Raw genomic sequence first — 27,709 nt, forward strand, 5'->3', positions numbered from 1 at the left:
TAAGGTTGCTGAGCTGATATGTAAAGATATGTAAAGTGCTTAGAGCAGCACCTGACAAGTACTAAGTGCTCAATAAATGCTACCTGTGATAATTTAGACATGGATTGTATTCTCTCTGAATCTTTGCATGCTTGAATATATCCTACTTCACCTTGACTTGTAATGATTACCTAGGTTGGGCACACAGTTTTGGAGTTACTACTCTTTCCTTTTAGTAGTGTGTGGAGATTATTTCCTTGTTTTCTTACCTCCAGGATGGCAAGTAAAAATAATTTACCTGTCGGATATTTTCCCTTTTTATGTAACTTCTTTTTTATAATATTCTCTGTGATTGGAATTTATGAATTTTATAATGATACTTCTAGGCATTTGAACTTTTAAAAACTAATGGTGTCTGGAACTTGGGGTATCTTTTTATTGTTCAACCTCAAGATTTTCTTTAGATTAGAGAAATTTTTCTTCACAATTTCTTTACCTATCACTTTTCCATCTGTTTCTCTTCCTCGTCCTAGAAATTCATTAATGTATTGGGCCTTTTGGATCCGTCCTCCAAGATTTATCTTTTCCTTCATCATTTTCATTTATTGTTTAAATTTTCACCTGATCACCTTGGCTGCTTATTCAATTTTCAACAGTGACATTATCTCTTTCATTTAGTGTGAGTTTTTAAATTTGAAAATCATGTTTCTCAATTCCAGAAATTATTTTTCCTGTTTTAATTTTATTTCTTCCAGTGTTGTTATTGCTTTTTGCTAAATATGATATTTGACTCTTTCTATAGTTCTATTTCAGTCAGAAATAATATAAATTTTGAAATGCACAGACAATGGATATGAATTGTCACCTATGGAAATACTACGAGGGACTGGAGAAATTTGGAGAATGGAAAACTCCAAGGAAGGTCTTTTGGGGGATAGGCAAAACTGGGATTGATTGAAATCAATTTTGTGATTCTGTATTTCTTCACTGTATCAACATTTTGCTTCACATACTGTTTCTTAGACATACCTAGAGAGGCCTACCTAAGTGATGGATTAAAGATTTTAAGAAAGTATCTTTAGACTGTAATGCATAATTTACTTACTCTCTCAATCTGTCTTCCCCATCCCTTCCAAGTCTCTGATGTTTCTTTTTTCTTTTCTTTCTTTTTATTTTTTGAGATGAAGTTTCTCTCTTGTTGCCCAGGCTGGAGTGCAATGGCGTGATCTCAGCTCACTGCAACCTCCGCCTCCTAGGTTCAACCGATTCTCCTGCCTCAGCTTCCCAAGTAGCTGGGATTACAGGGGCCCGCCACTACGCCCAGCTAATTTTTGTATTTTTAGTAGAGATGGGGGTTTCACCATGTTGGCCAGGCTGGTCTCGAACTCCTGACCTCAGGTGATCCACCCACCTTGGCCTCCCAAAGTGCTGAGTTTACAGATGTGAGCCACCACGCCCATCCGTCTCTGATATTTCACATTAGCACATTGCTCCAGCTACTGTTATTGTATGTTGATTACCTTAGCTGTGGCTTTAAAATAACTATCCTCAGAATTTAGTGTCAGGAGAAAGCAGGACGATTAAGCTGGGTAGAGATTGTGGCTTGACTAACAGCTGATACCATTTCTCAATGGGATCATTTTGTATATGTCCCCAAGAGAAACCTCTGAATAGTCAGAAGGAAGAAAATGTGCAATGATTTACGAAGGAATGGGATGACAGATACAGAAAACTGTTAAACATTGTCACGTACCCTCTGACTGAAATCCTGGAAAGAGAGTGCTATATCCTCCTTTCCTTGAAGACAGTTTCTTACTTTTTCTTAAAAAAAGATTTACCATTTCACTAGAGATTGTAAATATTTACACATGTGCATATATGACAGAATAGTATGTTTTATAAACTTATGTTCTTCTGTTTCCCACAATATTTCTTACTTTTCCATTTTCCCATTCCTTGTTTCAGGAAAGGTTTATGGAAGGGCTTTTCGATTTCCCAAAGCCTAAACACATGAAAATATAGTGTTAGGTATAGTTGGTGCTCTTCCCTAAGATGTATCAAGCTATGGCTTTACTTCTATTTATGCTGCTTAAGGATTCATGTCTAGCATCAGTTGTTGAAAAATTCACGCCACTATCTCTTCAAATATTGTCCCTTCCTCATTCTCTCTAGACTCTCTTTATGGACTTCGTTCTAGGTATATTTTGAAACTTTCCCTTTTTCTGCCATGTCTTCTAGCTTCTCATATTTTGTACTGTTTTATCTTTGTGTGCTGCATTCTGGGTGATTTATTGAGATCTATATTTGAATGTCCTAATTTTCTCCTTGCCTTTGTCTCTGCTAAGGCTATAAAAGTTTCACCAGTTCCAGATTAATTTTTATATTAGTGTATGTCCCTTGAATTCTCTCACATGTACAGATTATGAATTCGGCCTATGAATGGAGCTGGCCTGGATTTTGATTGCTCCCAGGGGGCTCTGTATCCACCCATGACCTCACATAAAAGATGAGCTTTCTTCTCATGTATCTTTGCTGTGGGATAAAGTTTTCTAGTTATCATTTCATGTACTGGTTGTGTTTCTGTGGGGCCTAGATTTAGATTGGAGCTCAGTACCAGCTTCCCATCTTCCACTGCCTAGAGGCATTGTTTTCTGTCCCTATGTGGGATTAAATCCTGGTCTCTAGATCTTAAAGCCGATAGCCGTCTGTCTTTATCTCCCGCTCCTTGCTAGCTCCTTCTTTGTTTCTTGGAGATTTCCATTTCATGATGATGAACTTGACTATTTACTGTTTTTAGCATTCTATCACATCTGTGAGTTTCGAGTGGGAAGGGGGAAGCTTTCCAACTCACTTCAGTCTGCTGTTGACTGGAAGTTCGCTGGACAGTTTTGTTGGATTAAATTGTGTAGGTGACATGTCATACCTGTTAAGAGATACCTGAAGCATTGCTGCTTTACATTGCTTCCAGACATATAGTATAGAGTCTAACGAAGTTTTCTGTATCTCAGCATAGCAAAGGCAGGGAAGCAACACAGAAAGTCTTGATCATTCAAGGTCGACACAAGCAAAATAGAGAGCTACAATATTTGAAGAGGTCCTGAGGAAGGAATGAAAATGGTGAATTATGTAGAGCAGTATTACTAGAATCATGTGGACCTCCTCCAACAACTCTAAGGTGCTTTGTAAGCATCTTTGATCTTAGACACACCACGGAAAATGCAGCAGATCCTAAATTGATTCCATTTCAGCACAACAATGGGATGAGAAGACAAAATATAAATTATGAGTATTGCTATAGAAAATAAAAGCTGGATGTTTTATACACTTGGGTTTGTGGACTGTGATTTATTCCAATTACACATATGTGTTAGCTATGGCATTCTGCAGGATGTATGATTACCAGACATTTATATTATCCTCTTTGCCTAGTAATTATACTTTTCCTTATTTCCTCTCAAATTTTACTTCCTTAGGGAAGTTTTCTTTGTTCCCTTTTTAGCCCCTCAGAGTATGTCTTGATCTGCAGCAATATACTCATATACATACCTGTGTTCCATTCCTTCTTTGTATTTATGTGGAATTATAATTATCCATACACTCATGTGATTATTTGATTAATGTATATACCCCACTAATCTGTGAGCTTCATGAATACAAAGACCTAGTCTGTTTTTCCTACCATTGTATTCTCAATGCCTTGCATAGGTGCTCAATAGAGACTTATTAAGTGAATGAATGAATACAATACATTTCTGCGTTGTTTGACATTTTTACAATGACTATATTAGTTTTACTATTAAAAAATGAAAATCATCCTATTTAGAACAAATATAAACATAGACCTTCTGGGCCAGTGGTTTTTAATATATTTAGGGTTATACTTCCCATTAAAAACATGTTAATAATTATAGCTTATAGCCGCTCACCTGGAAAACTTATATGCACCTTCCCCTCACTCCCAATACACAACCTTGTATACAATTTCCAGGAGTTTATAGACTTATCCAGTTGAGAACACCTGGTCTAGGTTAATCAGTATGGTCAGTAGGTGAGAGTTTCTTGGACACTGTCCTTAGCCTGGCTGAAGGGCCACTAGGGAGGAAGGTGACTGAAAGGCAGCAAAGCTAGGTTCCCTAGATTCCCTGGAGATGCAGATTTTGGGCATGAAAGGCCCACCAGACTGCACTGCTCATGATAGGTGGGAGGCAGCAGATAGGGTCCAGGGAGGCTTCCACTCAGACACTGTGAATAAGGGCAGAGAGCAGGGAGATGGCTAGGGACACTCCCCCAGCAATCACTTCTCCAGGCCTCATGGACACCCTCAGCTGCAAGGGTCTAGAAGGCATGAGTTCTGGTTTCCAGTGGCAGGAACAGTGCTCCCTTCTCTGCTGGGGCTGGGTTACCCCTGTGGAAATTTAGGAGAGGGAGGAGGGAAGGATCCAAAAGCATTTACTCAGGTCACCACCTTGGTCATCTGTCCAGGTATATTTTTGGAGTGAGCAAGAGTCAGGTGCCCATATGCAGGAAATGAGACGTTCTGAAATATGAGAGGGGATGGGGGCAGCACCTTCCCCCTATCTTGACTGGGCAGAAAGGATAGGACCATCTCTGCATTCCTCATACCTTGCAGCATCAATCTCACAGCTCTTCCCTTTGCTCAGAGTTAAATTTCATTGTTTAGAAGGATTCAGTCTAATCCTTCTAAATACCTTATCAAAAACCTTACCAATCACCTTATCAAATACCTTAGCATGTTTATAAACTCTTCTTGTGCAGAAAAGCAATACATTCATAAAACGTAATTGTGCTAAGGCACTTCCTCCCTCTTAAATTGGACTTTTTTTTTTTTTTTTTTTTTTTTTTTTTTTTTTTTTAGACTGAGTCTCCCTCACTCTTACCCAGGCTAGAGTACAGTGGTGCCATTTTGGCTCACTGCAAACTCCACCTCCTAGGTTCAAGCGATTCTCCTGCCTCAGCCTAATGAGTAGCTGGGATTACAGGTGTGCACTGCTATCCCCGGATAATTTTTGTATATTTACTAGAGACAGGGTTTCGCCATGTGGGCCAGGCTGCTCTCGAACTCCTGGCCTCAAGTGATCCACCTGCCTTGGCCTTCCAAAGTGCTGGGATTACAGGTGTGAGTTACCGCACCTGGCCAGAAATATTTTTTATGATAGATTTTTCCCAGATTAATTCCTCATTAATTTTTCAGTGACCATAACTTCATTTTTTTTCTGATTGTAAAAATGATTGCATACTGACGCTTTTTTTTTTTTGATGGAGTCTCTCGCTCTGTCACCTAGGCTGGAGTGAATTGGCACGATCTAGGCTTACGGCAACCTCCGCCTCCAGGGTTCAAGCGATTCTCCTGCCTCAGCCTCCTGAGTAGCTGGGACTACAGGCGTGTGCCACCCCGCCCAGCTAATTTTTATATTTTTAGTAGAGGTGGAGTTTCACCATGCTAGCCAGGCTGGTCTTGAACTCCTGACTTCAGGTGATCTGCCCGCCTTGGCCTCCCAAAGTGTTGAGACTACAGGCATGAGCCACCGCGCCTGGCCACTGATGCTTATTTTTTAAGGCGGTAATAGTACATGAGGAAGTGAAAATATGAGGAAGTACAAATCTCATGTTCATTCCCTGCCTCTGTTACTGACATGCTGTCCATTTTCTAATTCTAATCCCTGCCTGCCTCTCCGCCCTCACGTTTTGGGGGATGGACACAGTTGCAGGGGAAATGGAAGACATTACTGATCGTGGACATCGAGGGTGGAGAGAGAAACTTGGGCATCAAACTAGCCCTGAGAACTGTACCAATGAGGTTGAAAACATTTGTAAACCATTGCCTAGTAAAAGCAGTCACTGAGATCAGCGTTTTGGATGATTAATATCTCTTAAAAACATTTTATAATTCCCTCAACAAAGCTCTTGCAAACTGTGGTAGAGGCTGTTAGTGCTCTCCAATATCCATGTTTTCTGCCCACTCCTTGGAATCCAGCTAGATTGGTCAATAGTGGCCTAGCTATAGTGGTCAACGTCCCCTATGATTGGGTGCAACCATGAGACTGAGTTCTGGCCAATGGATTGTGGCAGGAGTGATGTGTTCCAGATTTTGCCTCATGAAACTTCCTCATGCTTGACTTGTGCTCTCTCTTTTCCTATCTACCCGCTGAATGGAGATAACTTTGAGTACCTAGAGAAGGATGGAGCTACAAGATGGAATGAGCCTGGGACCCTGAATGGCCACGTGTAGCAGAGCCTCTCTGCTGACCTGGAACATTAACCTCAGACTCTTTTGGTAATGAAAATATATTTTTTAAGTCATACAATTTTTGAGTTTTTCATTACAGCAGTTTAGACTTTTATACTACTACAACATTAATGGATTTCTGTCCTTCCTTTTTTTTTGGACCTTAGGTGATGAGGATTATACTAACCATATTCTTCCCTTCGTAGCATACCATCTGCATTGGTCTAATCAAAACCCATTTTCTTTCCTTTATTAATTCATTTACTACTTTATTTGTTTCCTTTCTTCTCTATTCTTTACTTCCATCTCCTCCCCAAAGGCAACCTTCTAATTTATTTGATGTGTATGTTTGTTTGAGTTATTTTAAAACTTACATTACTTTGTATGCATGGATTTAGATAGTAGTATGGTGCTGTGGATCTTATTCTGGCTTTTTTCCCCACTCAGTAATATTTTTTTAAAGATCCATCTATGTCACTCTGTGTACATGGTCTGTAGTTTCACACTGTTGCATAATGTACCATGGTATTCATCCACTCCAATTTACTTCCTCATTTTCCAGGAAATAAAATCTATACTGCTTCCAACTTTCTGTTACCTCATACATTGTGATGAACGTCCTCATGCATGTCCCCTTATGGACCTACATGAAAAGTGTTCTGGAATATATATAAAATGAATGGAATTGTTGAGTCATAGGGCATATGTATAATTCATTTATGTATGTCAGATTGCTCTTTGGAATAGCAGCTCCAGTCTAAACTCTAATCAGCTGTGTGCATTAGAATTCCTCTATCTTTGTACCCTCACTAACAATCGGCAGGTCCCAGCTTTAAAATTTTTGCCAGCCAAATAGGTATAAACGGATTTATAACTGAATTTTAATTAGCAATTAACTGGTTAATAATGAGTTTGAACATCTCTTCATTTATTTCTGAGCATTTTGGTTTTCATCTCCTCTGGGTATATTTGTCATGTTTTGTCAGTTTATTTTATTTTACTTTATTTTACTTTTTGAGATAGGGTCTCACTCTGTCACCCAGGCTGGAGTGCAGTGGCACAAACATGGCTCACTGCAGTCTTGACCTCCTGGGCTCAAGCGATTCTTCTGCCTAGCTGCTCCAAGTAGCTGGAACCAGAGGCATGCACCATCACATTCAGCTAATTTTTTAAAATAGGTTTTTTTTTTTTTTTTTTTTTTTTTGTAGAAACAAGATCTTGCCATGTTGCCTAAGCTGGTCTTCAACTCCTGGCCTCAAGCTATCCTTCTGCCTTGGCCTCCCAAAGCACTGGCATTACAGGCAGGAGCCACCTCATCCGTCCGTCCTCTTTTGTCACTTTAAGGCAGTGTATTCCTGTCTTTTTCTTTTGGATTTGCAGGAGTACTTTGTATATGCTAGCTATTAATCCTTTGTTAAAGGTATTGTAAATAACTTTTCTCTGTCATCTATTAACTTTGTTTATGGTGTCTCTCATTGAATAGAAATTCTTATTTTTTATGTAATCAAATCTATTAATCTTTTGTGTCTTATGGCATCTACTTCTGAGGTTTTGTTTAAGAAATTGTTATCTAATTCTAGGCCACAAAGATTTTTTCCTATATCATCATCTATTAACTTCATAATTTTAGCTTTCAAATTTATTTTATTCTCTGTAGTCTAGATTTATACATGGTGCTAAGGAGGGTTCCAGCTTTATTTTTCTTCAAATAGTGAACTAGTCTTTCCAATAACATGTATTATACCGTCCATCCTTTCTCCATTGATTTGTGCTGCCTATTTTTTCTGTATCTACTTAAGTCTGTCTCTAAACGTTTCCATTTATGTATTTATCTCTTCCATATTACTTTTGTTACTATGATACGGCAGGGAGAGCTGGTACTCACCAAATGATTTTTGTACTTACTTTCCTAGCTTGCCTTGCAGTTAGATTGAGGTCATATGACTATCTGGACTACACACTACAAGCAAAGTAATGTTTATTATTTCTGGGTCAAGGTTATTTAAAACTGGTGTAAAAGGCTGTGTGTTTAGATGGAGGAACCACAAGATGGAAGAAGCCTTAGGTTCCTGAGTAACTGCATGGAAGACTGGAGAGCTGCCTAATCATTAAATTTTACGTAAATAGGAAATAAACCTTTGTTTACTTCACTGAGGTTTTGAGGTTCATTTGTTACTTCAGTATAGCATATTGTTACCCTGACTGACACATACAGTGTATCTTACTATCCAGTAGGGTAAGTCTCCACTCTATCCTTTGTTTCCAAATTGATGTAGCTCTTGTTGGGTCTTTATATTTCCATATAGTGTTAGAATGTATCAATTAAGCTTTGATAGATTTTTTAAAATGTTAAGCCAGCTCTGCGTTACCATTCTGATCATGACTTTTTAAAATACATTGCTGGATTCTACTTGCTGGTATTTTGTTTAAGATTTTCACATTTATATTTTGAGACTTGTTTGAAATTTCATTTTTTATACTGATCTTGTCAGTTTTAATATAAAAGATATTTGGCTCATAAAATGCATTGAACAACATTACTTATTTCTAGGCTATAGAAGAGCTTGTATAAGATTGGACTTTATCTGTTACATCTGGGTCTATTTTTCTGAGGAGAGGGGCAGGGAACTTTTAAACTACTGATTTAATTGTTTTCCGTGGTTATAGGACCCTTTGGATTCTCTGTTTCTTTCTGAGCCAATTTTGGCAAGTCTTATTTTTCAAATAATGTATCCATTTCATCCACATTTTCGAATTCATTGTCATAAAGTTAATTATGGTATTCTCTTATCTGTTAAAATCACTGCATATTCATTATTGTGTCCTCTTGTTTACTGCTAATATTGTTTATTTTCACCTTTTTTCTTGATTGGTCTCATCAAAGGCTTGCTTTTTAAATTATATCTTTTGAGGACCAATTTTTCAATTTTTAAAATTCTATCAAATGTATTTTTTCTATTTCATCTATTTCTGCTCTTGTCTTTTTCATTTTATTATCTTACATTTATTCTATCAGTCTATTTCTAACTTTTGATTTGGATGCTTAGCTCATTAATGCTTACCTTTTTTTTCCAGTCTAACATAAGATTTTTAAAACAGCTTTATGAGATATAATTCACATTCTAAACAATTCACCTATTTAAAGTGTAAAATTCAATCTTTTGTTGTATGCTTGCAGAGTTGTGCAACCATCACCACAATGAATTGTAGAATATTTTCATCACTCCAAACAGAAACCCTGCACCTATGAGTTGTCACTCTTCAACTTGCCTCTGCCACTCCTTTCAACTATTACTTTACTTTCTGTCTCTATAGATTTCCCTGTTGTAAACATTTCATATAACATTAAAAACTTAAGACCATAAATTTCCTTTGAAATAATGTTTTTATTGAGAACACAGGGACACGGGGAAACAACATACACCAGGGGCTGTTCGATGGTGGGAGGTGAGGGGAGGGATCGTAGAGGACGGGTCAATAGGTGCAGCAAACCACGGTGGCACACATGTACCTATGTAACAAGCCTGCACGTTCTGCACATGTATCCCATTCTTTTTCTTTTAGAAGAAATAAAGAAAAAGAAAGCAAAAAAAAAGCAATACTGTTTTTACTGAATCCTACAAATGTTGATATTTAGTGTTTTTGTTATTATTCAGTTTTCAGTGTTTTAAAATTTCTATTATGCTTCCTTTTTTAACCCATAAACTACAAAAAAGTTTTTTTTTTTTTAATTTCCAAACATGATCGTAGGTGGTGGCTCACACCCGTAATCCCAGCACTTTGGGAGGCCACCCGCCTTGGCCTCCCAAAGTGCTGGCATTACAGGCTGAGCCACTGTGCTCAGCCTCTTTATATATTTTGAGGTTATTTTATTAAATACTCACAAATTTATAATTTTTTGGCGAATATAACTTTTTATCATCGCTTAAAAACTTTTATTGTGAAATAATTATATATTTACCTGTAATTGCAAGGATAATACAGACAGGCAGGAGGATCACATGAGGTTAGGAGTTGGAGACCAGCCTGGGCAACATAGAGAAACCTGTCTCTACCAAAAATACAAAAATTAGCCATGGAATGTGGCATGCACCTGTAGTCCCAGCTACTTGCGAGGCTCAGGCGGTATGATCCATTGAGCCCGGGAGGCGGAGGTTGCAGTGAGCCATGATCGTGCCACTGCACTCCAGCCCGAGCGACAGAGTGAGAACCCATCTCAAAATAATAAATAAATAAATAAAATAAAAATGTCAACAAGGAGGAGCTGGTACCATTCCTTCTGAAACTATTCCAATCAATAGAAAAAGAGGCAATTCTCCCTAACTCATTTTATGAGGCCTGCATTATCCTGATACCAAAGCCTGGCAGAGACACAACAAAAAAAGAGCATTTCAGACCAATATCCCTGATGAACATTGATGCAAAAATCCTCAATAAAACTGGCAAACCGAATCCAGCAACACATCAAAAAGCTTATCCACCATGATCAAGTGGGCTTCATCCCTGGGATGCAAGGCTGCTTCAACATATGCAAATCAATAAACGTAATCCAGCATATAAACAGAACCAAAGACAAAAACCACATGATTATCTCAATAGCTGCAGAAAAGGCCTTTGACAAAATTCAACAACCCTTCATGCTAAAAACTCTCAGTAAATTAGGTATTGATGGGACATATCTCAAACTAATAAGAGCTATCTATGACAAACCCGCAGCCAATATCATACTGAGTGGGCAAAAACTGGAAGCATTCCCTTTGAAAACTGGCACAAGACAGGGATGCCCTCTCTCACCTCTCCTATTCAACATAGTGTTGGAAGTTCTGGCCAGGGCAATCAGGCAGGAGAAGGAAATAAAGGGTATTCAATTAGGAAAAGAGGAAGTCAAATTGTCCCTGTTCGCAGATGACATGATTGTATACCTAGAAAACCCCATCGTCTCAGCCCAAAATCTCCTTAAGCTGATAAGCAACTTCAGCAAAATCTCAGGATACAAAATCAATGTGCAAAAATCACAAGCATTCTTATACACCAATAACAGACAAACAGAGAGCCAAATCATGAGTGAACTCCCACTTACAATTGCTTCAAAGAGAATAAAATACCTAGGAATCCAACTTACAAGGGATGTGAAGGACCTCTTCAAGGAGAACTACAAACCACTGCTCAATGAAATAAAAGAGGATACAAACAAATGGAAGAACATTCCATGCTCCTGGGTAGGAAGAATCAATATTGTGAAAATGGCCATACTGCCCAAGGTAATTTACAGATTCAATGCCATCCCCATCAAGCTACCAATGACTTTCTTCATAGAATTGGAAAAAACTACTTTAAAGTTCATATGGAACCAAAAAAGAGCCCACATTGCCAAGTCAATCCTAAGCCAAAAGAACGAAGCTGGAGGCATCACACTACCTGACTTCAAACTATACTACAAGGCTACAGTAACCAAAACAGCATGGTACTGGTACCAAAACAGAGATATAGATCAATGGAACAGAACAGAGCCTTCAGAAATAATGCCACATATCTACAACTATCTGATCTTTGACAAACCTGACAAAAACAAGAAATGGGGAAAGGATTCCCTATTTAATAAATGGTGCTGGGAAAACTGGCTAGCCATATGTAGAAAGCTGAAACTGGATCCCTTCCTTACACCTTATACAAAAATTAATTCAAGATGGATTAAAGACTTAAATGTTAGACCTAAAACCATAAAAACCCTAGAAGAAAACCTAGGCAATACCATTTAGGACGTAGGCATGGGCAAGGGCTTCATGTCTAAAACACCAAAAGCAATGGCAACAAAAGCCAAAATTGACAAATGGGATCCAATTAAACTAAAGAGCTTCTGCACAGCAAAAGAAACTACTATAAGAGTGAACAGGCAACCTACAGAATGGGAGAACATTTTTGCAATCTACTCATCTGACAGAGGGCTAATATCCAGAATCTACAAAGAACTCAAAGAAATTTACAAGAAAAAAACAAACAACCCCATCAACAAGTGGGTGAAGGATATGAACAGACACTTCTCAAAAGAAGACATTTATGCAGCCAACAGACACATGAAAAAATGCTCATCATCACTGGTCATCAGAGAAATGCAAATCAAGACCACAATGAAATACCATCTCACACCAGTTAGAATGGTGATCATTAAAAAGTCAGGAAACAACAGGTGCTGGAGAGGATGTGGAGAAATAGGAACACTTTTACACTGTTGGTGGGACTGTAAACTAGTTCAACCATTGTGGAAGTCAGTGTGGTGATTCCTCAGGGATCTAGAACTAGAAATACCATTTGACCCAGCCATCCCATTACTGGGTATATACCCAAAGGATTATAAATCATGCTGCTATAAAGACACATGCACACGTATGTTTATTGAGGCACTATTCACAATAGCAAAGACTTGGAACCAACCCAAATGTCCAACAATGATAGACTGGATTAAGAAAATGTGGCACATATACACCATGGAATACTATGCAGCCATAAAAAATGATGAGTTCATGTCCTTTGTAGGGACATGGATGAAATTGGAAATCATCATTCTCAGCAAACTATCGCAAGGACAAAAAACCAAACACCGCATGTTCTCACTCATAGGTGGGAATTGAAGAATGAGAACACTTGGACACAGGAAGGGGAACATCACACACCGGGGCCTGTTGTAGGGTTGGGGGAGTGGGGAGGGATAGCATTGGGAGATATACCTAATGTAAATGACGAGTTAATGGGTGCAACACACCAACATGGCACATGTATACATATGTAACTAACCTGCACATTGTGCACATGTATCCTAAAACTTAAAGTATAATAAAAAAAATTTCAAATACATGGTTTTTAAAACATATTACCTTGTTATGTATTTCTATCCTAATTGCATTTTGGTCAAATAAAGTGATTATTATGACACTGATTCTTGGAAATTTGTTGAGATATGTTTTATGGCCAAATTCATGATCATTATTATAAACAGTCCCTCTATGCTTGAGAAGAAAGTGTATTCTCCTATTATTTGGTTCAGGATTTTGTGTACATCCATTAAATCAGATTGTTGACCACATTGCTCAATATTCTATATCTTTACTATCAAGATATATTAATAGAATACTTTTTGTTCTCCTTATTCTTTAAATACTTTAGAGATGTTGTATTCTTCCGTGCGATTGTTGATTTGTTCATTTCTTTTTATAGTTCCATAACATTTTTCTTTATATATACATATATATGTTTTGAGATGGAATCTCGCTCTGTCATCCAGGCTAGAGTGCAATGGCGCCATCTCGGCTGACTGCTACCTCCACCTCACTGGTTCAAGCGATTCTTTTGCCTCAGCCTCCTGAGTAGCTGAGATTACAGGCATGCATCACCATGCCTGGCTAATTTTTTGTATTTTTAGTAGAGGCGGGGTTTCATCATGTTGGCCAGCCTGTTCTTGAATTCCTGTGACTTGAAGCGATCCACCCGCCTCGGCCTCCCAAAGTGCTGAGATTACAGGCTGAGCCACTGTGCCCAGCCTCTTTATATATTTTGGGGTTATTTTATTAAATACTCACAAATTTATAATTTTTTGGTGAATTTAACTTTTTATCATCATTTAGAAACCTTTATTGTGAAATAATTATATATTTACCTGTAATTGCAAGGATAATACAGAGAGGTCTTCTGTACCTTTCTTCACAGTTTCCCCCAATGGCTACATCTTATATGACTGTAGTACAATATTAAAATGAGGAACTTGATACTGATAGAAAATGCGTCATATAGTTCTATACCATTGTATTACACCACCACAATCAAGATACAGAACTATTCTATCCCCACAAAGATATCCTTTGTGGTACCCCTTTCTAGTGATACACAGTATCCACCCCACCACCCCTAACACCTGGAAACCATGAATCTGTTTTCTATTTCTGTAATTTTTTCATTTTAAGACTGTTATACAAGGAACTAAACTCAAGAGCAAAACCCCAAATAATTCCATTCAAGTGGGCAAAGGATGTCAACAGACATTTCCCTAAAGAAGACATACAAATGGCCAACAGGTGTATGAAAAAATGCTCTACATCAGTAATTATCAAATAAATGCAAATCAAAACCAGAATGAGATATCAACTCACTCCATTTAGGATGGCTACTATCAAAAAGACAAAAAATAACATGCTGGCAAGGATGTGGAGAAAAGGGGACACTTATACACTGTTAGTGGGAATATAAATTTGTACAGCCATTACAGAAAAGAGTACAGGGGGTTGTCAAAAACAGCAAAACTGGAACTATCATCCAATCTAGCAATCCCACCACTGGATAGTTATCCAAAGAAAAGAAAATCAGTATATCAATGGGATACTTGCACCCCCATGTTTATTGCAGCACTATGCACAATAACCAAGATTTAGAAGCAATCTAAGTGTCCATCAATGGATGAATGGATAAAGAAAATATGTTACATATACACAGTGTAATACTATTCAGCCATAAAAAGTATGAAATCCTGTCATTTGCAGCAACATGGATAGAACTGGAGGTCATTATGTTAAGTGAAATAAGCCAGGCACAAAAAAGGCAATTGCATGTTCTCACTCACATGAGGGAGCCAAAAAAAGTTCATCTAATGGAGGTAGACAGTAGAATGATAGTTACCTGAGGCTGGGAATGGGGCGAGGCGGGTAGCAGGGGATGAAGAGAGGTTGGTTAATGAGTACAAACATACAGTTAGATAGAAGAAATAAGTTATTGAGTTCGATAGCACAGCAGGGTGACTATAGTTAACAATAATTCAAAATAGCTAGAAGATTTGAAATGGTCCCAACGCAAAGAAATGACAAATGGTTAAGGTGGTGGATATCCTGAATATTCTGACTTGATCATTACACCTTGTAGGCACATATCAAAGCATCATACATACCCCACCAATACTACAATTATTATGTATCAATAACAAAGCAAAAAGAATGTTATAAAAATGGAATCATACAGTATGTGACTTTTTTGAGATTTGTTTTCTCACTCAGTATAATGCCCTTGAGATTAATCTAGATTGTTGTATGTATCAATAGTTCATTCATTTTTATTTCCAAATGGTATTCCATGTTATGGATGTAACACAGTGTGTTTAATCATTCGCCCATTCTTTAACAATGTTTTTCCTTTAAAATCTATTTAGTCTCATATTTATTTGGCTATGCCAGCCTCCTTTTGGTTAATGCTTACATGGTATAACTTTTCCTATCTTTTTGCTTTCAAAATTTCTGCATGCTTATTATTTAGCATGTAGATGGTTTTCAAAATCCAGTTATATATATTTAACAAGTAAATTTAGCCATTTTCACTTATTGTGGTTACTAATACATTTGAACTATGTGCTTTCTATTTGTCTTCCTTTTTTGAGGCTTCACTTTTCTCATTTCTCACCTCCTTTTGGATTAAAAATATTTTCTCAAAGTGCATTTTTTCCTTTATTGCTCTAGATATTATACACTCTATTTCTATAATTTTAGTGGTTGTTCTTGAAATGTTACCATTCATATCTAACTTAAGTCTAGAGCTAATCAATATATTATCCATATATTAACAATAGGTGAGAACTCTAACTGCAATTAATGTGGACTGATCTAAACTATGTCCCCTAGTCAGGCACACTCAAAATCTAATTCTCTGGTTTTAATATTGAATTATCAACCTCATATTTTAAAATATCAACCTTGTATTTTAAAATACAAATTTCAGTGGGGGCATATGAGACAAATTGTTTTTTTTTTTATATAAGCGAAGCATAGTGGGAAATATTTTCAAAAATCCCAGAGAGGCTCAGTATTTGCCAGATTACCTATCCTGGTTACCAGTGTTTCCAGTTTCACTAAGGAAACCTGGTAAGTTGGTGAATTCAACTAATATTACAGTTAAGTAATAGAAAAGGCCAATTCCTAAACTCATTCTTCAAGAGGTCTCTGACAGTCTTAACTGGAAAGGATTCTTGCAGTAGGATTCCTTGTTGTTTTAGCTTTCACATTAAATTCCATATTCAAGCCTACTCATTGTTTTCACTGGAAGTTGTTCAGTGTCCCTAGATACAAATACCTGATCCCACTCAATTCCTCTTCCCCGTGAAATGTTCTATAGGAGCAATTACCTTGTCACATAGAACTTTTGTCACAGGGAAAGCTCTCAATTAATTGTAGACTGTTTTCAACCCCAGATTGGGAAGGAAGTCTCATTTGCATTTTGCCCACCTCAACCCAAATATCCCATGATTTCTTGAGACTCTATTGCTTACTGCCCCATCTCTCATCTTACTCTTAGTATGAGGCCTTTTCCTTAAGCACAAAAAGATAATTTAAGGAAATATATTGTGATAGATCTTACAAGGGAAAAATTCAATAACCTGGCCTGATAAAGGGTGGAAACAAATGCAGCTCCAGGAACTCCAAGAGTAGGAGTTTGTATCAATTTATCATTGTGCTCTGCCACTAAAATGACAGCCTTGTATCCTCAGTCCTTGCATTTATTGGGCCACATTCTTAAAAAGAGAGAACATGAATGTTTCTTGACCTGACTGTTTACCCAGACTAACAAATTGAAGCAAGGAAAGCAGGACTATTCAGTGCAAACAGTTGTGAGAACTGTACCCCTTCATATAGGCCCTGGACACACAATATAAAAGGTAAATACTATAGTACAGAATACCTAAGGAATGTTTCAACAGTCACATTTCAGGAATAATAGAATACTATATAGCTGATGCTCAATTCCTGGTACCTATTGTTATTATTTTACGAAGTTAAATCTTTCAAAGAGCTACTCTTTTAGGATTTAGCCACACCTGAACTACGCTCGTACTTTCACATGTGATATGATTTAAGGCACAAAAATTCAGACCTTAGGAAATAAAGCATTTCCCTATTGTGTGATTTGTAGCTTATTCGTTAGGCCAGACCACACATCTCTGTATGGGAATAGGTTTCACCTGAAGATTATGGAAGTTTCCACTGTTAATCAGAGCAGATAAAGCTGGTTAGACTACCTGAATAGTGAGGATCAAGCCAGGAGGTTCTGATGCATCCATCTTCCATATACGAACTCAAATACTACCTCTATCTTACCCCAGAAATACTTTTCCAGGACTGACATATTTTCAGGTTATCCTTAGTAATGGTTCAAAAATTCTTGGGTCTAACCTCACTCAGGGTCATGTTGTTACCACAGCAATTGTATTATTTATTAAATAGCCATAGATTCGATGTCATATGGGTTACAATGATTACAGTAAAACTGAGTAAGAACATTAGGCCCTAGGGTCTTCTATCAATTTTCTCCTAGGAGAAAAAGAAAAAAGGCCATCACCTCCATTATTATCACCAGTGATCTCTTCAGAAAAATCTTCAAGAGAAGCTGTCAAGCTTGAATTTGTGGATACAAGTTTTACAAATTTCTAATTTTGCATAAAAGTTCAAATTTTATTGCTGGTGACAAATCCTGTCAGTTGTTTTTCTTGAAGTCTCACTTCATTCATTTTCAAGAAAATCTCTGCTAAATACCGAAGTCTGAAAAACCATAGTTTGTCTGCCAGTCATTCTTCAAGTAAAACTAATGTTCCATGAAAAAAGCAGCTAATTCAGTGCACAACTAAAATGATTATGCAAATATTTACCTTAGAGACAACCATTGTCCTAAGCTATGTGGCAGAAATGCTTTGTGCGTACTTCCTATTTCATCACACGGAATATTAAAAAGACTTGCACTCAATCATTGAGATTTTATCATATATAATTTTTATAAATAAGGACTATATTAAATACATTTTTAAATAAATTTGGATTTAAAAAAATTAGAGCGTGTGGTTCTAAAGAATGCAATCACTACTAGTATAGTATGGGGACACTGCCTTAATCCATGCTAAGGCACCAGCAGTTTTACCCACCAATGCTTTTGCACCATCAGTGCAAATGTCAACTCGGTGAAAACAGCAAATAACATGTTACTATTGTTTTGAAAATAGTTTTGACCTTACTGTTTCAGGGACCTGCAGTAGTCCATGGACTACACATTGAGAACCATTATCATACAATATGATTCCAATTTTATGAAAAAAATACGCAGGGATGTATATAATAAACATATGAAGGAATTTTCACCCAGTTTTAATTGTGTGGACTTTTTGACTGATGCGACAGGCCCTTACACGTAGTTAATGTCTTTTCATGCCAATATAGAAGTATATCAGTTTTTAAAAAATGTATTTTTAATAGACGAATAAGAATTGTATATATTTAGGGGTAAACATGATATTTTGATATATGTATACATTGTGGAATGGCTAAAACAAGCTAATTAACATATGCATTTGCCCCCATATAGTTATCTTTTGTGGTTAGAACACTTAACATCTACTCTTTCTGAAAATTTTAAGTATACAATATACTGTTGTTAACCATAAAGGGTGTCAGGAAAGCAGGCTGGGTTTGGAAAAATCTCTCGGACCCTCCCACTTTCTAATTGCTTCAGTGGGCCAGGGAGGAAAGCATACCTGTTCATAAGTGAACTTGGGAGTGGGGATGGGGACTCCCATCAAGGCCTCACCACTGCCCCTCTTCTAAAAGATGGCAGACCTAAACCTCTAACCCTAGGAAGCCAACCACTGCTCTGTGCCAAGAGTCATTCTTTCTGCCACACTGCTTTTTTCTCATCCCAAATGGTGACTCACTTTGTCATTGTGCCGTCTCCACAGTTGCCCCCCAAATAGGGCTCTTCCCTGTCAGGACCTGCATGAGGTTATACAATCCTCCAGCTTTGTTGATCCACAGACAAGCGTCAGGCAGCAGATCTTCGTCCTTCTTGTTTTGTTTTGTCTCTTATTATCATCATACACTAACAGTTCCCTTAGTCACCACCCCACTTCACCCCTCATCATCTCTTGCTTGGCTTATTATAACTTTCTAACAAATGTCCAGTCTCCAACATAGCTCCAATCCATCTTTAATATTGCCACCAGATTATTTTTCCTTTAGTCAAAAATGTTCAGCAATTTGCATAATATGACAAGATATTATTTCAATATTTTGGCTTGGGGTTCAGGATCTTCCTCAAACTTTCCTCACTCTGAATTTTCACATTTATCTCTCATCATTCCTCTTCCCATGGCTTCCATTCCAAGCAAATTGGCTACCTTCCTATCACAGGCACAGATTTCTCACTTGCATGCCTTTCTCCAAAGCATTTCCCCCTCCTGGAATGCCCTTCTATGTTGTCCTTCAGGGTTCAGCTTAAATGCGCCCTTCCTCCTTGAAGCTTTCTCAGCAACCTCTGCTTCATTTAAACAGATAGTGTATATTTGACAAAGAGCATATGCCCAGGTACTGTTAGTAATCCTTTTGTATTTATTTATTATTATTATTTTTCATAGATCTTTGTATATATACTTTTGTATTTATGTACCTTATCTCTCCATCTGGGTTTTAAATTCAAGCATTAGAACGACTTTTTGTCAGTTGAAACATACAACTTTATTGATGATACACAAATGAAGTCTTTGGTGGATAAATTCAAGTCAAAACAAATAATAGAACAGTAGGCCATTCATAATGGACAGGTTTACTGTCAATTCAGAAGAACCAGTAAAAATATTTCTATCCAAGCAGCACGATTAAAGTCACAAATATGTTTTCAGTACAAGAGGTCTATTTATTTGGTATTCATAAAATGGTTCAGCTTAAAGCTGGTGACTGTCACAGATAACATCACTCTGGATGATACATTATTCAACACTGGCAGCTGAAAGGATCCCTTTACTATATGAGCAAGTGGAAAAGCAGTAACTTTCAATTTTCAACGCTTCCACACTGCAAAATCATGAAATTTCTTCAAGTCTTTTGACGGTACATAACCAATCAGAATTTGTTCACTAGTTTTATAACTTTCACTTTCACTAAGAGGTCATGGTGATTTGCTAAGGCTCTAATTTTCTTAACACACACTCCAGATGTAGTGCATAAGTAAAAAAGGGAACCTTTATTGAATTCTCTATAGTTAAACACTTCTGCTCTGAGATTGTCATAGATAATCTCAAATAGAGTAAGGGCATTAATAAGGATTTCTGATTCCACGTAAGAATTATAGAGGGAACTAAATGATGCTGGCACTTGGGTACTGAGAAGTTTCTTCAACATATCTGGATTTTCAGCAAAATTCGAAAGGATTTTCAAAATCTCAACCTTGATTTTTCCACCTCCCTGAGATAGCAAACGGAAAAAGTTTGCAATGGAATTGACAAGCAGGTGTTGGTAGTCATTAGTAATAGTCATGTTTGTTAGAAATTTTAGTCCAACTACTTGAACTGCTGAGTTCAGGTTAGAGGCCATGATATCATCCATCACTTTATTCATGTACACCTGAAGCCGGCCCTGATTTTCATAATTCTCACTCAGGTTATTCATGGCCATTAAGGCTTTTTCCTTAATGTGTGGATCAGTTTTGTTGATCATGTTTGCAATAATTGGGAGGCCTCCCAATTTGCGGATTGTCTCTTGATTGCATGAATAATTGGCATTGTTGCTCAGAGTGAGCAAAGCTACCTGTTGGATGAAAGGATCATCAGATTTCTGAAGCAAGGCAAGGACCTTCCTGAGATCGCGGACACCCAGAATCTCATCAATTTCATAAGGAAAGGGGCGCTTCTGCATGGCAACGGGTCTTCTTCCCCTCCCTCTGCGCTGGGTCTCGGGCTCAGAGTCTGAATCTGACTCTGTGTCAGTCCACCCGGACTCCCCTTCCTCAGAATCAGGGACCTCTGCCAGGAAAGCCTGTCCGCCATTAGCAGAGGCTGCAGCAGCTGCTGCAGCCCCATCTCCAGGACGGAAGCCCATCCCCAGTTCGTCTACTTCAACTTTGCTTTTCTTGCCCTTGCCCTTGCCCCCATTCCGGGACCTGGTTACACCCTTGCCTCCACCTTTGGGTACCGCTCCAGTCGCTGATGTGGCTTTCGGTATAGCCCCAGTGTGAGCCCCAGGGGTTGCTTTCTTGGCAGCTGATGTTCCAGGAACCACCGCTGTTCTAGGGGAACCAGAAGTTCCAGGAGACTCTGCAGCCCCAGTAGGTGCTGCAGCCCCAGTAGGCGTTGCCGGCACAGGAGCCTCAGCTGCCTCGGTAGGCGATGCCACCCCGGGAGCTTCAGCTACCTTGGTAGGTGCTGCTACCCCAGGACCCTCGGTCACCTCAGTGGGTGCTGCCGCTTCGGTAGGCACCACTGTCCCAGGAGGCACCGCTGCCCTGGAAGTCTCCGCTTCTCTGGGAGCTTCTGCCACTTTGGGAGCCCCTGCCATTGCAGGGGCTTCTGCAGCCCCAAGGGCCTCTGTCACCCCGGGAGGTGGTGCTATTGCAGAAGCCATTGCAGCCCCAACTACTGATTCGGCCTTAGGCCCAACCCCGGCTCCATCTGCCTCTTGGGCCTGACTGCCTGCCCCACTCTGAGCCTCAGCGCTGGATGCAGCTGGGGCCACTGCCTCAGCTCCAACTGTGTCCAGAGCAGAGGCTTCATCCTGGGCCCTGTCCTCTGCTTCAGCACGGACTGGGGTTGGGGGACTGAATCCTGACCCAAGGTCGATTGTGAATCCGGCTCTTAGCCCAGCTCTAGCCCTGGCTCCAGTCCCAGCCACAGCCCGGTTTTTGGGCTTGGCCATTCTCTTCTTGGTCTGGTCTCTCCCCCTGGTGTATTTGTAGACACAGTACCAGGCACCAGCCCCTATCACTATCCCCGCCGCTACACAGCCAGCATCCCGAACGCGGCTCATGGTGCAGCTGGGGTTATTCACTGATCCAGGGCGTGGAACTGGATTGCTTAAGGTTAAGGGATGCCTGCTCGTCCGGGTGAGGCTCTTCAGTTTAGGCTTACAAGTTCTGCTGAGGCTTAGGCAGGGCCTAGGGGTAAAGGATAAAAATGAGGCTTAGGGCTCTGGCTCACTTCGTGTCTAACCAGTTCTACTTAGAGAAGAGTTTAGGGACACAATGCTTCGTTGGCGGGCTAGCACCCAGACACAGGTGTCAAGGCCTGTGTTTGCTGATTCACAGACCTAGTTTAACGTTTTCTACATCTTCAACCTTAGCCTGCTCTGCCAATGCCTACAACTTCCAGCATCTAAATGGAAGGACGAGAGGCAGTACAGACATGGGTAAAGCTGGTAGAGAGCTGGAAAAACAGTAGAGATCTCAGATTCTGCTATGATGCCCCACCCCCTACCCCCAAGGCCCCTACATGGTGCTCATGCACATACCAACCTGGGATCAAGAGCAGTTTGCTTTTTTCCACTGTAGCTGCAGTTGCACAGAGCCCAAAAGGAAGACAGACCTGAGGACAGATCAGAAAGGGCGTTTTTGAGCCATTGGTGGACGAATTCTGGTTCTTTTCCTGATTTGGGCCCCTGTGGGTCAAAGGTTTTCCCCCCTCAGGGATCCTCTTTTCCTCTTCAGCCTCTCCTCCCCCAAATATTAACTAAGGCAGATGCCACGCCCCTTTCTCTGCACCAAAAAGAAAGGGCCTGGGGCAAGGGTGTCTTTGAAATTAAAAGAGAGAAGATGCAGGAGGAGCCTCTGGTCCCATACTCTACTCTTGTCTCTGCCACACCCACACCAGGGGGCCCCAGACAATTCCAACCCCAGCACTGACCCTCCAAAGATTCAAGGCTGTTTCTCCTTACTTCAGTTCAGTTAGAGCTTCATCCTAAGGACAGACTGAAGAGCAGAAATATAGACTGTCGACGTTAGACAATGAAAGCCTGGTGGATGGATCAGCATCCAGGACAAGGGTCTCAGTAACTGCCTTTTCGTGTTTGCACATCAGAATGTCAAATGATTCTACCTCTCAATTCCTTCAACTCTTCTCACCCCACCCCTCCCACCTCAATCCTCCTCCTGCGCAGGCTCCCCAGGCACTCAATCCCTCCTTCCGCTTTGCCCCGCCCCCGTCCGCCATTTCTCCAGGACACACCGCCACACCCCTTCTCCTGCAACGAAGCGGGAGGGGAGCGGGGCGAGGGTGCAGCAAAAGCTGGATGGGACGCGGTATGGGGGACTCCTGCCAAACAATTCAGTGTTCCCCTCCCAGGATCACCCATCTTTCGCTCCCCAGCCCCTAGGCCTAGCGTTAGCCTGCAGAAGAGGGGCCTCAACGTCTGCCTTTTCGGGTTCAGGGTCGAGATTTTCCACGATTTCTCTGCTATGGGCTCTACCTCCCACTTCCCACAAATCCCCCCAACAACCGCCATTTCTCCCGCCTGCATACCCGAATTCCTTTTCCAGGACTGAAAAGACGGGGGGTGAACGGCTGTGTGGGCCGGAGGTGTCTGGAAAGCAGTCTGCGAGTTAACAAGGCGGTTTAATACCAGATTCTCTCAGGGTCCGCCCCCTCCCCCCCACCTCCCGTGAAGCCCAGACAGCGCCAAACCCGCCACCTCTCCAACAGCAGCTGGTACACCCATTTCCCAGCACTCCCAAATCACAGAGGGTCGGCTGGGGGATGGGAGGGTGCCGGGGCGGTGGTGGGGAAAGTCAGGGTGGGAGTGTGCCGCCCAGATTGTTACCAAATTGCATGCCCCACCCCCGCCTCCTGGTTACCCTTTCCCAACCTCCCTGCTGGCCTTCTATGCGCTGCCACGTTTATTTCTCTTCCCTCCTCCTCTCAAAACAGGACGGAATGTGGGGTGCGGGCCTGAATATTATAAACAAAACCAAAAAACACTGGCTGGAAAGGAAGTAAGCGGATTCTTCGTAAAGTCTATCAAAAGTCTTTTCGTTTCCCCCTCCCCCTTTCCCCACCGCCCACCAAAATGAGCCGCGTTTGAGCACCTCAGGTCTGGAAAGCCGGCCAGGAGTGGGGGAGACCGAGGCACCCGCGGCCTCCGACTCCCGCATCCCTAGATTACCCCTATTCAGGGGTCCCAGACTGTGCCCACCCTCACACCCACCTGCCCGAATCTGGGGGAATTTTCTCCTCCTCCTCCTCGCCTGGGTTAAACGCACGGCAGCGAGCTGCGCAATAGAGTTGGTACCCAGAGGAGGACGGAGAACGACGGTCAGGGCTTTAAGTACCTTTGCCCACGTCAGCTCCTGGTCACGTGAGGGCTGCATCGCCAGTAAGCTTGGGTCCCCAATTTCCACTCCCACCAAGAGTACGAGCCCCCTCCTTTACTTCCATTCCCATCTCACCCCACCACATCAGGTCCTGTCACTCATTTTTTTGTCTTTGTAGTCCTGGAGGCCTAAAGTAGCCCCTTCTCCCTGCTTTCACAATTTGCCTTTCTCTGGTTACCTGGGAGGGGCTGCATCTTCTCGGAGGGCTACTGAAAATTTTTACTTTTTTGTTGGGGAATTGTTTCATCCTTTCCTGGGCTACTGGACACTCTTCCATCTCTCCACCTCTAGTTCCTCAGCCCCTAGTCCCCAGGATTTTCCTTGCAGTTGACTCCCTGTTCCAGTATAGTTAAGGGGCAGAGTGTCAGAAAGGAGACAAGGAGTGGGAGTGGGGTCTGTACTTCTCAAATACTTCTGTTTTGTTTTCAAAACTATCATCATGCTTTATTTTTATAGTAAGAAAATTCAGTAAAACAAGAATTCAATGTGGGAAGTAGCAACAAAAAAAGGGTGGGCATGTTTTGTAAAGAAAAAAGGTTTCCTGCGTCCATTGGAAAGCACCATTAATTTTGGTTAATTTTTACCGAATAGAACATGAATTCTTTTGGTCACATAGGAAATAGTTTTTAAAATATGCTAAGGTATTTGAACATCTAAAATGGAATATTTCTCAATAAGATAAGCATATTTCCATGTGATCTGTAAATTGATCCACAGAGAGATGTTCAGTTCTTCAATCTTGTTTATTTTGGACAAATAATACGCTACTTTTTTCTCCTTCTGGGACAGCTTTTAAGTTGCATAAATAAATGATCCTGTCTTGTCCTGTTAGAGAAACACATTTATTTAATATTCCCAAACCATTGCTGACTGCTGTGTGTGAACCTCCTGTAATTTGATGGCTGTAACCATGACAGTTTTAAACACCTGTCTTCGGATTAGGTTCCAGTTAATGATTCAACTCTGGGCAAAAGGAAGAGCTGTGAGGCCAAGGAAACTGAGTGTGGTGGGTGCAGAGTGGTCAAATCCTCCCTGCCCTGTCAGGAGGAGGAGGGAGATGCTGTCTCTCTACTCCCTCCCATATGCCAGAGCCGCTCATCTCCTGCATTCAGGTACCTGGCTCAGTTGCTCACACCCAAAATATATCCAGACAAGTGACCAAGATGCAGACCTGGTTAAATGTCTTTGGCTCTTTCCGTCCCTCCCCCAAGTTCCCAGAGGAAACCCATTGATGCATAGAAAGGATTGCTGTTCTTACCTGACCCTGCAGCTGACGATTTGTGAAACCTGTGATTTCACAAAAAGGTTTTTGTGATCACACAAAAAGTGATTGTTGGGGGAAGTTCCCAGGCCTGACTGCTGTCTGTCCTTATTCGTGGTTACCAGTGAACCTTGCTCCAAACACTGTCTGCTACTACCACTTGGCCTAAGAGATGCATCCTCCTGGGCCTCTCACTTCTGCCTCCTTAGCTCCAGGGGACCTAGGAAGAGTCTAGCCTTCCTGCAAGGTTACTGCCTGCCAGTACACATCCACCTTGGTGCCCTCTCAACCAAATGTATGCCCAGGGAACAATCCCCACTGATGAACCCAGAGTAGGTGTTCTCACCCGGTCAACTCTGTAGACCACCTGAAATTGCATTCACCTGCAAAGCTTTGTTTGGGATTATATGTGTGGTTAAATGCATTTTTTTCAGGAACAGAGATCACTGACCTCATCAGTTTCTCAAGGGGTCTGTAACCCCCGCCCTGCAAAAAATTAAGAGCTAATACAATGGCCAAGAGGGTCTGTGTTATATATATATAATAGTCCAGATTAGGAATCTTGTATTTTGTTCTGGTAATACAAGTATTATATATTAGTGGTTAAAAATATTCAAAACAATAAGGAAATATATAAAGTATACAGGGAAAGAAACTTTTGTTATCTTTTCCACTCCCAGCCACTGTCAACAGTTTCCAACTTTCTTTTTAGACACATTAGTAGTGCGTTTGTGCTTATTAATCAAGTTCCAAATTTTTGTGATCTGTTTTATTAATTCTAATTTAAAGTGATACCTTTGGTTTATCTTGGTATTATATATAATCATTTGTAAATGATGATTTTTCATTTCTTCCTTTCCAACATTTATGCCCCCTTTTCTTTCTTCTTCTGCATGAGTCATTCTTGGTTAAATTAGACATAAACGAAAATATCCTTAACCTGATGAAGAATATATCAGAAGTTCTTCTGATCTGGCAGATTCGTCCCTCCCTGTGGTCTACCAAGATCACAGAACTTAATGACTGGCATTGACTAGAACTTCCTTACGAGCCTCCTGATCTTGTTCTTGAAGACAGTGGGAATGCCTCTTTTGTTTCATTATTTAGTATAACTTTTGTTGTTTGTGATTGATGTATTTTTTTTTCAAGGCTAATTTCACTTATGTTTACTAGTCCCTCTCTTTCTCTCTGTCGCACGTGCACACACACACGTAGTACAAAGAAATACTATCAGTGAATGGAGGCAAGTCATTAAGTTCTGTAATCTTGATAGTCCAGAGAAAGGGATGAATCTGCCAGATCAGAAGAGCTCCTGATATCTTCTTCATCAGGTTAAGGATATTTTCTTTTATATCTAATTTAATTCATCTAAGAACGACTCATTAAATTACGTATAATTCTTTACTACATAAATGAAGTTCCCTCTTATTCCTATTTTACTTTTTTTTTAAATTAGGAATGGTTACTTATTTTATCAAATGCTTTCATTATGAGGTTTCTTTTCTTCTTTGGTTTGCTGTTGTCAGGAATGATGTAGACAGGCCAGTCTCCCTGTCACTCTTCTCTTCCTATAGTTTATTCTCAACATATCCAGACACATGTCCCTTGTTCAAACTCCCCACCCACTTACTGTGTTGTTTAGAGGAAATATAAATGTCCTTATTATAACTGACAAGGCCCTACCCTGTTCAATCTTACTACTTTTCTGCCTAATCTACTTCTCTCTCTCTATCTAACTCACCCTACTCAGTCATCTTGGCTTTCTTGATGTTCCTGGAATATACTGGACATGTTCCCTTTACAGAGCCTTTTCAGTTGCTCGTCTCCTTACCTGGGATGTATTTCCATCCCACATCACCACACTTAGTTAGATCCCTCACAGACTTCAGATCTTTACTCAAAGGTCACCTTTTTAGTGAGTCCTTCCTTGGTCACCCTTTCTAAAAGTTCATCCCATCTTGACTTTTCATATCTTCTTTCCTGCCATTTATTTTTTCTTTAGTACTTATTAATAACAATATACTATATGTTTTATCTTGTTGGTTGGTTGTCTCTTTCACTAGAAAGTAAGAACTATGAGG

The 27,709-nt window shown here is 40.2% G+C and overlaps 1 protein-coding gene across 37 annotated transcripts; it reads right to left on the reverse strand.

Annotated features, from left to right (window-relative positions):
• Positions 19,725–24,294, reverse strand: ARMCX2 (armadillo repeat containing X-linked 2). 37 transcript variants are annotated; one of them, NM_001282231.2, is made up of 6 exons: positions 24,202–24,294; positions 23,875–23,945; positions 23,520–23,592; positions 22,905–22,969; positions 22,517–22,586; positions 19,725–22,159 (listed from the first exon to the last, which is right to left on the reverse strand). In NM_001282231.2, exon 6 carries the CDS (start codon positions 22,030–22,032, stop codon positions 20,134–20,136), a length of 1,899 nt encoding a protein of 632 aa, NP_001269160.1. In that variant the 5' UTR covers positions 22,033–22,159; positions 22,517–22,586; positions 22,905–22,969; positions 23,520–23,592; positions 23,875–23,945; positions 24,202–24,294; the 3' UTR covers positions 19,725–20,133. The 37 variants fall into 37 exon arrangements, with proteins under 37 accessions (NP_001269160.1, XP_047298645.1, XP_047298639.1 ...); XM_047442689.1 differs by having other exon boundaries at positions 22,936–23,013; XM_047442683.1 differs by having other exon boundaries at positions 22,905–23,013.

The sequence above is a fragment of the Homo sapiens genome, chromosome X (assembly GCF_000001405.40).
Source record: "Homo sapiens chromosome X, GRCh38.p14 Primary Assembly".
NCBI lineage: Eukaryota > Metazoa > Chordata > Mammalia > Primates > Hominidae > Homo > Homo sapiens.